Raw genomic sequence first — 12,659 nt, 5'->3', positions numbered from 1 at the left:
TGCCTGGAGGAACCCCAGTCCCCACTATAAGAGTCCCCCAGCTCATCCCTAGCAAGGCACCCACATCTGAATTCCCCATCAGTGGCCACCTCCTCCTGCCATAGGGGTGAGACTTCACCAAAATACACTTGTTCATGCTGCCCCAGATGTCTTTATTGAGGCCTCTCATTTGACCCAAATACATTAACAAGTGATTGCTGAGATACAGTCCCAAACACAGTATTCTCCCTTCCTTCTGGCCAAGGACAGGACAGTCAGAAAGATACAGGATTAGAGAGAGTGGGGGAAAGCTGTGCATAGATGGAGGGAACAGAACAGAGATGGGGCCCATATATATGGCTAGAGGAGAATCACAAGAAAGAGTATGGAGAGTGATGGAAGAGACACATAATAGATACAAGTAAGTTATGGGATAAGAAACAGAAGTCAGATAAGAGAGAGCTGGCCTGGTGTCTAGGGAAAAGTAGCTCATTTGCTCATCAAATGAGGGGGATCAGTGTCTCAGCACCCAGCATATAGACCCCAGTTAGCTCTATGGCAGAGAATAACCTAGTCTCCCTGGAGGAACTCAGGGAAGGACAAGGGAAGGCAGGAGAGAGCATGAAAAGACCAGTGGGGCTGAAAGATGGTTGCCATAGCAACTAGTCATCATCATCATCGTCATCGTCCTCTGTGTTGATCTCGCCCTCCAGGACATCCTCCAGCCAGTCCTCCAGCTCCTCAGCAGAAGGCAGGTCCTCCTCATCGTCCATTTCCATCCATACGCTATCCGCCTAGGAGATGGCACAGGCAGGGACGGAAGCTAAGTCCAACCCGGGTCTTAGGATCTGTCTTCCCACTCACTGGACTCTGTACATCCTTCCCTACATTCTCAGTCCCTTCCTTTCATCTGCCAAAGGCCAGGGAAACTGTCCAGGTGAAGGTATGGGTTATGGGTTAGAATAGTGACAGGTGAGAGTGGGAAGAAAAGTTGGATTGGCAAATAGACCTTCTCCCTTCAATCTGTCTCCCGTGCTCTTGCCACACTGAACTTCCCTATTATGCCTTTGGTGCAAAACCACTGGTAGCTCTTCATGGCTTATAAGAATAAAGTTAGCAACTCTTCGGCATTCAGGACATTTCTTTCTTTCTTTCTTTTCTAAAAGAGACATGGTCTCACTCTATTGCCCGGGCTGAAGCGCAGAGGGGCAGTCATGGCTCACTGCAGCCTTGAACACCTGGCCTCAAGTGATTCTCCCACCTTGGCCTCCCAAAATGCTGGGATTACAGGCCTGAGCCACTACCCTGGCCCCAGGGCTTTTCATAACCTGCTTTTCTAGTACCATTCTCAGTGATCTCTAGACTCTCAACCATAAAAATCCACCTGCCTTTTCCGGGAACCTGATATTCATTTTCCTGTTTTTAACTTTTGATCTTGCTTTTTCCTCAGTTTGGAAATGACTTCCCTGAATCATCACTTGTTGAAATCGTATACATTGTAGAATCTCCATTTTGAATATCACTTTTTCTTAAACTTTTCTCTGATTCTGTCAAGCAGAAATCAATGTGATCCTGTGTCTTATTTGTATCGTTATTATAAAGTTTATCAGATCTGGCCTTGTAGTTAATGGAACACTTGCCTCTCTAATTAGTCTGAGAATTCTATGAAAGCAGAGACTGTGGCTCATTCAGTTCAACTTAGCAGTTTTGAAGCACCTACTGTGTGTGCATAAGAAGACTTCTGCCCTGAACAAGCTCAAAAATCTACTGGAAGAGACACACATAATACATAAATAGCCATTTAAATGTCATGTTCTCAATGGCTATTGAGCCCTGGGAGTGCCAGGGAGGGAATGATTTTAAATGGGAGATCTGGAAAGACTTCACAGAGGAGAAAGAATTTGAACTGGGCCTTGAAGGATGAGCCACTGATTCCAACATGTGGGACAGGGCCACATTCAGATCCTAAGTCTCCCCCTCCATCCAGCCACTAGACTGGGCATGTCTGCGTCCTGTGAGAAGGGCCCAACTCCTAGTTAGCAGAGAGGAGGAGAGCTAGCTATGCTAGGAAGTAGAGTCGGGGGTCAACCCGGGATGAGGACAGGAAACTCACATCAGTAACATTGACGACTCCTATTTGTGGGGCTGACAAGTCGATGTCAAACGTCTTCTCCCAGTATGGGACCAGCTGTAGAGAGATCAAAATACAGCAACTTAATAGATACTAGGGAGCACATGAATCCAGGAGGATGAGTGTGAGGGTCAGCCCAGGGATGGAGAGGGGACAGTGCGAACTGGCAGTGGATGGGGACAGGTCCACCTGTGAGGGCATCAAGGCAAGGGTAGAACTAAACAACAAAAGAGGAGAAATCCTAAAGGGAGAGAATCGGGAGGGTCAGCTGGGTGCACTGGCCCCTCTTTTCTGAGGAAAACTGGATAGGAAACCCTGTTCTGATCCTGGATCAGATCCTTGTGTTCAAGGTCAAGTCACTTCTCTCTGGCCCTCAGATCTTACATTTCTAAAATAAGGCAAGTATACCTGGTAAGTGCCAATGTTTCTCACGTTTCTCTTTGTTCTTTCAGTTACTCATTCAACAGCGAGTGCTAGGTGTTGGGAATGTAGCTGAGAACAAAATCATCTCCTGAAACAGGGAATCTCTGTGCTATGATTCTATGATTGAGTGTGTATACCCATGTGCAGGACTATTGTGCCTCACAACATTGGTTTTCTTTAGGAGTCAGCCCTAGCACCTGAGCTACCCATCCAGCCTCTGCTCTGGGAATGTGTGTGATGTCCGTCCTGTTTCCCCTTGCTCAGGATGCCCTCCATGCCAACAGTGCCCTTAAGCATGCAACACGCATACCCTCCCAGGGCCCCCCAGCTAGGAGGTGGGGATGGGACCTCTGAAACAAAGCCCTCACTAAGAAGATGTCACAGTCCAAGGCCCCACCTTAAGATAGCAGTGCCTGAGCTGTGCCTCTTACCAGGGGGAAGTCATCAGGGTCAATCCAGATGATGCTAAGATCTGGGTTTTCAGTGTTATCTTGGGCCACAGCCTTGAGAGTCTCTAAGAACTCGAAACCATCTTGGAGGGAACACAAGTACAAGGTATGAGGTGTGTAGAGAGGAAAGGGACCCAGGTGAAACAGGAGTGCAGAGCTACCTCCCTGCTCCCCAAGCTTCACATGTCTAGCCCTAGGCTGTTTGCAAACTCCCAGGAAAGCCTCCTAGTGAGGCCCATGCTCCAATAAACACACCCACCTCCCCCTGCCTTCCCTCCAGTCCAACCCGGTATTCCTCCCTCACCAGGATCAGCTTCCTCTGCGAAGGCCACAATGTGGATTCCATCCATATCATCCTCCTGTCAGGGGGTAAGAAGGAGAACAGGGTTTTGGAGAAGACCTTACTATACTCCCTGAAGTTGAGGAGCCCAGAACAGATCCTAGATGTTCATTGAACCTCAATTTTGTGGAAATCCAGCTTCAGGACCAGATATATTCTTTCGTTTTTTGGGGTTTGTTTTTTTTTGTTTTTGAGACAGAGTTTCACTCTGTCCCCCAGGGTAGAGTGCAATGGCGCGATCTCGGCTCACTGCAACCTCCGCCTCCCGGGTTCAAGCGATTCTCCTGCCTCAGCCTCCTGAGTAGCTGGGATTACAGCCATGCGCCACCACACCTGGCTAATTTTGTATTTTTAGTACAACATTGTTTCACCTTGTTGATCGGGCTGGTCTCAAACTCCTGACCTCAGATGATCTGCCTGCCTCAGCCTCCCAAAGTGCTGGGATTACAGGCGTGAGCCACTGCGCCTGGCCATATATATTCTTGTGATGGTGACCTTTTTCCAAGTGACACTCCTTTCAGCTCCAAGGCCCCACACTTCCTCTGATAATCCCTTTATCCCCAGGCTTGAGGCTCTTCCCTTGTCATCTTCAATTATGTCTGTCTCCCATTTCCTCACACATTCTTCAGTGTAGAAATCTTTCAGTTGCTGCTAGTGCACTGTTTTTTCTTTTTTCTTTTTTTTTGAGACGGAGTCTCACTCTGTCCCCCAGGCTGGTGTGCAGTGGCGGATCACTGCAAGCTCCGCCTCCTGGGTTCAAGCCATTCTCCTGCCTCAGCCTCCCAAGTAGCTGGGACTACAGGCGCCCGCCACCACACCCTGCTATTTTTTTTGTATTTTCAGTAGAGATGGGGTTTCACTGTGTTAGCCAGGATGGTCTCGATCTCCTGACCTCGTGATCCACCCACCTTGGCCTCCCAAAGTGCTGGGATTACAGGCATGAGCCACCACACCCAGCTGGTCAGTGCACTGTTTTTTCTAAAAATGGGCCTGAGGAGCAGTAGGGTGGGGTTTTTCTAGGACTTGAGTCTTCTGGCACCCATGCTTCCCTGAGGGCTTGACCCTGGCCAGGGGCACTCACCCAGGTCTCATACATACTCTCCGGCTTCAGTTTCCTCAGGGTTGATCTAGAAGAGACAGACAGAGTGTCATTACTCAGTGGGTTAGAAGGATGCCCCCTCCAGAGGGTCCTGTAGCAAAGGCTGCCTCTAGGTCAGGCCCAGGGCACAGACAGCTTGTAGCCTACAACAAAGCCATCTGGCAAGGCCTCAACTCTGGGCACCAGGCCCGGCTCATTGCATGGTTAAAGCGGTGGGAGAGGGGAGGGTGGGCAAAGGGACTGGAAGAGAGACTGGGGGAGAAAGGCAAGAACTGGACATCAGGATATTCATTAATTTATTCATTCATTCACTCACTCACTATGATTGAGTGCCCGATATGTTCTAAGCACTATGCTAGGTGCTGGGTACATACAGTTGAACCAGGCAAGCATGTTCCTGCCTTGATGAAGGGAGCCAGTAGTATGGGAGAGTAAGTACTGTATATACTGCAAGGGAGCTTGCAGTGATCCACCACTGCACGCTAGCCTGGGGGACAGAGTGATTGGATATTTCCAGCTGTGGACTACTATGAAGGAAGGGAATTATGTGTGAGTGCCCGGCAGGATTATTCAACCTCAGCACTATTGCCATTTGGAGCCAGATAATTCTTTGTAGTAGGGGGCTGTCCTGCGCACTGTAGAATGTTTAGCAGTATCCCTGGGCTCTAGCCACTAAATACTAGTAGCACTCTGCACAACCAAAAATGTGTCTAGACATTGCCAAACATCCTTTGGAGGGCAAAAACCTATGCCCACCTCGCCACGCCTTCCCACCTTGTAGAGAACCATTGGTGTACGATATTGTATTAGAAAGAACATGGGGCCAGGCGCAGTGGCTCATGCCTGTAATCCCAGCACTTTGGGAGACCGAGGCAGGCGCATCACTTGAGGTCAGGAGTTTGAGACCAGCCAGGCCAACGTGGTGAAACCCCATCTCTACTAAAAATACAAAAATTAGCCAGGTGTGGTGGCGTGCCTGTAATTCCAGCTACCTGGGAGGCTGAGGAAGGAGAATCGCTTGAACCTGGGAGGCGGAGGCTGCAGTGAGCCAAGATGGCGCCACTGTGCTCCAGCCTAGGGGATAGAGTAAGACTCGGTCTCGGAAGAAAAAAAAAAAAAGAAGAAGAAGAAAAAAAGAACAAACATGGGACACATCAGGGTTAAAATCAGGGTTAAAAGCTCTGACACTTATTACCTGTAGAAACTTTCACTGAGGTTAAAAGGACTTAATATAATCATAGAGATGGAAAGTACCTTGCAGTTCCTGCCCCACCACAGGCAGTCAACACTCATTTGTTGACAGAGATTATTTAAGTCTCAATCAACCTCACACTGAATTATACACACTTATGAAGGACCCTCTCGGTGTAGGGCTCAGGGCTAAGTAGTGGGGTATAAAATATTGTGCAAAATTGTCAGTGTATCAGAGAGCACTGGTGCCCAAAGTGTATTCATCTCCAGGCAAGATTGGCTTCCCGGTTGGCTAAGCTTTCCCCAGCCCATCTCACACAGTGTGTTCTAGCCCAAGGAGGAGCCGACCCCGCTGAGAGGGTTGCCCTTGGTCCCCACCTCCTGTGCTCCTCCACGAAGTTGACAATCTCCTCTTCGCTATTGGGCTTGTCTGGGATGGTCACAGGCTCTTCCATGAAGGCCTCGTAGAAATCAATCTCATTCAGCTTCAGGGTCAGCTTCTTTGCCACCTTTGGGAGAGGGGGTAGGAGGGGAGTGGAGCAGGAGACACAGGGTCATGTCGAGAAGCAGTATAATGGGGGAACAAATATTAGGAAGGGAGTCAGAAAGCCGGGATCCTTGTCACTGCCACTGTGACACCTGACAAGTGTCTTAACTTGCCTGGGGTTGGGTTTAACATGAGAGGGGTGTTAGATCATCTAAAGCCCCTCTTCAGCTCTAAATCTATGGAGTGGGAGGAGCCGGGGGGGGGGGCAGGTAGGGAGTGCCAGCACGTAGGAAGGGACCAGGTCAGCCATCGATTCTGGGAGAGGAAACTGGAGGACAGCTTCAGGACATGAGGCAGAACCAATACAGCTGCGGGGAGGAGAACCTTGCTGTCGAAGGTGGCGAAGAAGGGGATGTAGGGATGAAACTCCTCAGCTGCATCCTCGAAGGCTTTGTAATCTGGGGGGTGGAATGCAGAGTCAGTCTCTGGGGAAACCAGGGTCTGCCCGGGAATCATCCCCCACTATCGTCCCCAATTCTTTGCAGGCAGGGTTCATTTTGAGACCCACCCCTTCTAGTTCTTCGAGAGTGAGGGGAAGGTGGAATACTGGAGGTGCTTGTCTGGGAACCCCCAGAGTACAGGGAGGTCAGAGCTGTTGATGGTGCTGACCACGGCTGGAGGAAGAGGTGGGAAGTGCAGAGGTAGAGGCTGAGACACTGGGTGATGTGGGGAGGTGGGAGGACAGGTGAGATGGGGATCCAGAGAGGGGCACAGTGGAGTCTGAGGGTTACCCACGCTCTGAGTCTTTGCTCTTGAAGTAGCCAATGAGTTTGATCTCATCCTCAATATTCTCAAACGCCTGCAGCTCTCGTTCACCTTCAATCAATTCCACAGGGTCCTCTAGGACCTGAAAGAGGAGGACATTGCAGGAAGAGAGTTTCTATCCTCAAGTAGAACCAGAAAGGGACCTAGGGAAAAGAAGGCTGGGGAACTGGAGGAGGGGGCTAGATGTTGACAGTGTGTGGGTGTGTGTGTGGGGGATTGCATGTGCGTGTGTGTGTATAGTGTGTGATGTGTGCAGTGTGTGGTGTGCATGTGTGGTGTGTGTGTGCATGTGATATATATGTATGGTGGGTGTGTGGTATGTATATGATGTGTGTGTGATGTGTGTGGATGGTATGAGTGTGGTGTGCATGTGGTGCATATGTGTAGTGTTCGGTATGTAGGTGATGTGTGGCCTACTGTGTACATGTGTGGCATGTGTGTGATGTGTGTGAATGTGTGGTGTGTGTACGTGTGGAGTGTGCATGTGGTGTGTGCATGTGTGTAGTGTGTGCATGTGTGGTGTGCAGGTATGTATGTGCATGTGGTGTGTGTGTGCGCATGTACGGTGTGTGTGCATGTGATATATCTGGTGGGTGTGTGGCATGTATATGTTGTGTGTGGTGTGTATGGATGGGTGTGTGTGGTGTGTGTTGTGTGTGTGGTGTGCATGTGGTGCATATGCATAGTGTGTGGTATCTAGGTGATGTGTGGCCTATTGTGTGCATGTGTGGCATATGTGTGATGTGTGTGCATGTGTGTAGTGTGTGTGTACATGTGTGGCGTGTGTGGTGTGTGCATTTGCGTGGCATGGATGTGGTGTGTGTGCATGTGTGGTGTGTGTTTGTTGTGTATGTGCATGTGGTGTGTGATGTGTGTGGAGTGTGTGGTGTGCATGTGGTGTGTGTGTGCATGTGATATGTGTGTGATGGGTGTGTGGTATGTATATGATGTGTGTGTGGTGTGTGTAGTGTGTGTGGTGTGCATGTGGTGCCTATGTGTAGTGTGTGGTGTGTAGGTGATTTGTGAACTATTGTGTGCATGTGCATGCATATGTGTGGTGTGTATGCAGGTGGTGTGTGTGTGTATGTATGGTGTGTGTGCGTGTGGTGTATGTATGGTGTGTGTGCGTGTGGTGTATGTGTGTGTGTGTGGTGTGTGTGTGCAGTGTCAGGTTGGGGTTGGTAGGGACTAGGGGGCAGGCAGTGGAGTTTTCAAGCAAGGCCGTCAGGTCCAGGGGAGTCCTTACATCAAGCAGAAACTCCACGATGGTGTCAGCAGAAAACTCGCCATCGTACTCAATGACTTCATCTCCCTTGAATACATACATGCTGTCCACTTCAGTTAGGCCTAGGGAGTGAGCCGGGCGCAGGGGTGGGGTAGTGAGCCATGATCCCAGGCTTCCCACAGATTCAAGGTCCAAATCCTCGGCCACAGCCCGTTTGATAATCACCGGGGCCCCACATGCTCCACCTCATGGGCCCGTTGCCCCACCCACCTCCTCTGACCCAGAGGCCGACAGGCCTGAGGTCTCTGCCCCTGGATTAAGCCTAGGGGGCTAGCGTGGCCCCAGAGCTTTCTAGGGAGTAGCTGGGGGATCAGGTAGGGTGAGGGGAGGGAATAGAGAGGTGTAGATTCTAGCAGTATTTCTCCCCTTCTCTGACCGCAACGACTAGAGATGAGTATTCATGCCACCCCCTCTGAGCACTCTAGTAGCTGGTTCCCAGTCAAGCTCTTTAATTGCTATTACTGACCAGATGACTTCATTATTACTGACCACCCCTCCCCCATGCATGTCCAGAATCCCGTCTCAAGCCTGTGCTGCCCCCTAGTGGCTGACTGCTCTAACAACCATGGCTCTGGATGGGAGGGGTTGGAAGCGGAGTTTGCAGAGGTCTGGCCAGCCCCGCCTGTATTCCCCGACTCCCCTTCCCTCCAGCACCTAGCCATGTTTTAAGGTAAGTATAAAGAAGGCCTCCCCCACCTCTTTCTGGGATTTGAGCATGGAACTTCATAAGGAATAGAGAGGCAGAGTCTCCGAGCCATAACCCTCCCAACCTCATATTTTCTCACCCCCTCTTTTAGAATAGACATAAATCTGAGAGATTCCCAAGCCCCTCGGATCCCAAGGACTGCCTGACAGGTCCTCCGCCCTAAGCCTCCCCTTGTCTCAATGCCACCTTCCCCTCCCCTGCCCTCCCCTCTCTTACCTAGTTTCTTGGCCACAGCTGCATCCTTCTCAGAGTCTACCAGCCCGAAGCCAACACCCTTGTCTTCTAGGACTTGGGCTGCTAACTGGAGGGAAGGATTATGATTAAAATTAGCCCCTGGAATTTTTATTATCCCCTATTCTCCCTCTCATGCTTTCAAGTTGGGTCAGTTGAGGTGCGGGAGATATAAGAGTTGACCTTGACCCTTTGCTAAGATCCAGAATATCCCCCAAATTCCCTACAGCCACACAGTTCTGTTTTTGGCTCAACTTAGTTCATGAATATTGATTGCTCATTTGCAATGTGCTTATTATGTTGGACTTGAAGACACTGCACTCAATACTTCCCAGTGCCTAAGAGGTACTGAGGAGTCTGGCTTCAGAGTGACTGAGGGCCCCTTCCCTCCTTCAGGGTTGAGTCCTGCATTCCATCCTGCTCAAGTCACACCTGGAGGTCCCTGTCCCTGGTCAAGGGCCAAGCTCAGTGTGGGGTTGATCTTGGAAGTCCCTGAGATTCTTCAGAGTGACTCCCAATGGGAAGAATTTTGGAGGGTGGGAGGGTAGTGGTGGGTCTGGTCATGTTGTTGAGGAGTTGGGGAAGGCCAGAGAGCTGAGATAAGAGGTCACCATTTGTTACCCCCCAGAGGGAGAGAGACTGACAGCGACCGGACAGTTCTCCCCATCAGGGCCCAACTTTCCCCTTTCGCACTCTACTTCAGCCTGTCCTTAGGCTGTGGACAGTCACACCTGGAGGTCCCTGCCCCCATAAGCCTTCCAGCTTAGCGTTCAACCCTGATTTTCTCTGCTGTGGGCACAGCTTGCAGCTCTACCCCCACTCAGCACAGACTCAGGTACTGTGATTCTCAGAGGGGTGGGGAAGGGAGGCGGTTGGCAGGTGGATGGCCAGGGATACTGAGCACTCAGGATAAAAATACTCGGCTCATTAATCAGATGGCAGGTTCTAGCACCCAGCAGGGGTGCACAAAATGAGAGCCTGTGGTTCTGGTGTCTCACCCTGAAATGCTCCAAGCTCTGGACAAGCTGAGGCCAGAGAAGGGGCCACAGGAGCTTGGACAAGAAAACTCACATCCCATTTCCTAAAGGTGTGTGTGTATGAACACATTCCCAAACATAGGTTTTTTTTCTTTTCTTATGATAACTTCTTTCTCCTTTGGGCCTGAAGTCATTTTGGAGGTGAGGAGACTTTTCCCACAAAAAGAAGATTGGGGAAGACATTCTGACACCTCCTGCAACCATAAGAATTTTCCAGTGAGGGCATCCAGCTTATCCAATGGAGACAAATGGGGAATTAGGGAGGGGGAAGGAAGAGAGAGGGGACTGGGAGTCCAATGGGAGGCATGATCTCTAGGAGATATTTAAACATGGCATGCAAGTATCATAACATTTACATTTACACTCAGTTTGGATCTCTTTGGGGTGCAGCCCCTGAAGTATGTGGAGAGGACGTGTTCTGGCTAAGCAGATGGGTGGGGTAGGGGAGTGCAATATACACTGCTGTTCTCCCCTGGCCCTCCAAGTACCTCCCTTTTTCACCCTCAGTGTCCTAGCCAAACCTAAGTCAAATACTACCAGCCTCCTATAGCAGGGAGGGGAGCTCTTCCTGCAGCACCCCTGCTAAAGGTTTCCTGACGCTGATAGTACTTTTGGGTTCCTGAGACTCTGTTTCTCATTTGACTAAAGCCACATGCCACTTGCATCCTGTTGGTCAGGACAGGGTTCCTACCACACTGCCCCTCACCCCCAGATCCCATCCTCAAAGAGCTACATGGGTGTAGGATAGGGGATTCCGGAGAGGGGCTAGACATGCTCTGCAGGCCTGCAGTGCCCCCAACTCACCTCCAGGATCAGCTCCTCCATCTCAAATTGTCTTTGTGAGGCCTTGTCATCCTCGGGGGGTTCATGGTAGAGGAGTGCCAGCACCTCATACTTCTTGAACACATTCTTGTAGTTCTTTGCATTGACATTGATCACACGGTCCACACCATCGTACTCAGGGAAGTCCAGCCCTTCCTGCCCCTGTACCCCTGACTTGGGTGTCCCTAGCACCAGCAGCAACAGCAGTGCCAGCCGCAGACCCGGCACAGCTCTGGGCCCCATCCTGTCTGTAGCACTCATGGAGGTAGTGGGATCTGGGTTGGCTCTCCTGGTCCAGAAGAGGTTAGCTGGGGTAGGGAGGGGCCCCTGGGTCCCAGATTCTGAGTTAGGGGCTCAAGTGGGAGGGGGGATTGGGGAATGGCCCAGAGCAGTGGACAGAGGGCACTGCTGGGTCCTGGAGAAACTGCCGACAGAGCCAAGGGAAAAAGGGTCAGGTGGAGGAATAGGAGCAGGGGGCGGGGAGGGAACCGGAGCTGCCCCCTGAAATTGGCACCCCTCAGTCCCCACCTGGTCCTGTCTAAATATGTCTCCATGGTTGGCAGGAGAGACGGATAACCTTCTGAGGCCAGGACAGCTCCATGCGGGCCGGAATCCTCCCACCTCCTACACTTCTACCCCAGGCTCCCAGGGGCTCCTTCCCTCCCCCTCCTCCAGTGTCCAGGGCACCTCAGCCCCGGTCCCCACACTGGCCTAAGAGCTCATCGCCATATTAAGAAAGGAAAAGGAGAGATGCCGGAGCTAAAAATAAGACCAGATGAGTCGGAGGTAAATGAAGCTGGGGCTGGGGGAGGGGAGGTATAAGGGTAATTAGGGTGGGCCGAGGGTGGGGCAAGGGTAATTAGAAGTTAAATGCAGTGGAGAGGAGGAGCTAACTGGGTCAGAGGCTAAATTGATAATATAGGACAAAAGGGGGACAAATGTGGTATTGGCTCTATGTCCTAAAGCCTGGGAATCTTCTGTAGGTGAAGTCTGATTCTGATTCTTTGATACTATGTAGGAGAGTGGGGCGATAAAAGTGCAAGCCAGGCTGCAGGAAAGAGACCCCCTCCACTTTCTTTTAAAGAACCAGGACCAAGGATGAGGTCATTCTCTGAATAAAAGATGGAGCCGCGTCCAAGACTGGCAACCTGGCTCAGCTCCAGCCAGTTTCCTTTGCTTCACTCAGCACTCCTAACTTGGGAATGCAGGGAAGGACAGGGCTGGCCCAGATCCTGTCCTGTAGAGATGTGGGTTTGGGGTTTCTCTGCCTATAAAGCCCACAATGAGAAGGGGTCTGTCCTTTGGTTGCCACCTGTGTGTGCACTCCCTACCCTGATCCTATGGGACTCGGTTTTCTGGGGCACAGTGGGAAGGGAGGTTTTCCCAGGCTGCATGCTTCCAAGGAGAGTGAATAGCTACTATTTATTCCCATGTCTTTGACAAGACAAAGAGGATCAGGTATTGACACCAGGGCAAAAAAAAATTAACATTAGGCAAGCATGAAGAGGTGAACCCTGTGCCCTGAACCAAGACTGATGATTAATTCTGTGCACCCGAGATCCAAAGCAGAGATGGGCGGGTAGGGGCTTAAACTTCTGGATCCAGCTTGGGGGGTGAGGACAGAGTAGTGAGTTTAACTCTGGATACGTAGGAA

General features: G+C 50.7%; 1 protein-coding gene across 1 annotated transcript; it reads right to left on the bottom strand.

Annotated features, from left to right (window-relative positions):
• CASQ1 (calsequestrin 1) lies at window positions 132-11,443 on the bottom strand. Its single transcript, NM_001231.5, has 11 exons — window positions 10,988-11,443; window positions 9,132-9,216; window positions 8,171-8,271; window positions 6,895-7,006; window positions 6,484-6,557; window positions 5,991-6,121; window positions 4,404-4,449; window positions 3,287-3,341; window positions 2,965-3,065; window positions 2,093-2,167; window positions 132-773 (listed from the first exon to the last, which is right to left on the bottom strand). Exons 1-11 carry the CDS (start codon window positions 11,264-11,266, stop codon window positions 642-644), a joined length of 1,191 nt encoding a protein of 396 aa, NP_001222.3. The 5' UTR covers window positions 11,267-11,443; the 3' UTR covers window positions 132-641.

The sequence above is a fragment of the Homo sapiens genome, chromosome 1 (assembly GCF_000001405.40).
Source record: "Homo sapiens chromosome 1, GRCh38.p14 Primary Assembly".
NCBI classification, from domain to species: Eukaryota; Metazoa; Chordata; class Mammalia; order Primates; family Hominidae; genus Homo; species Homo sapiens.
This window is presented reverse-complemented; position numbering and strand designations above follow the sequence as displayed.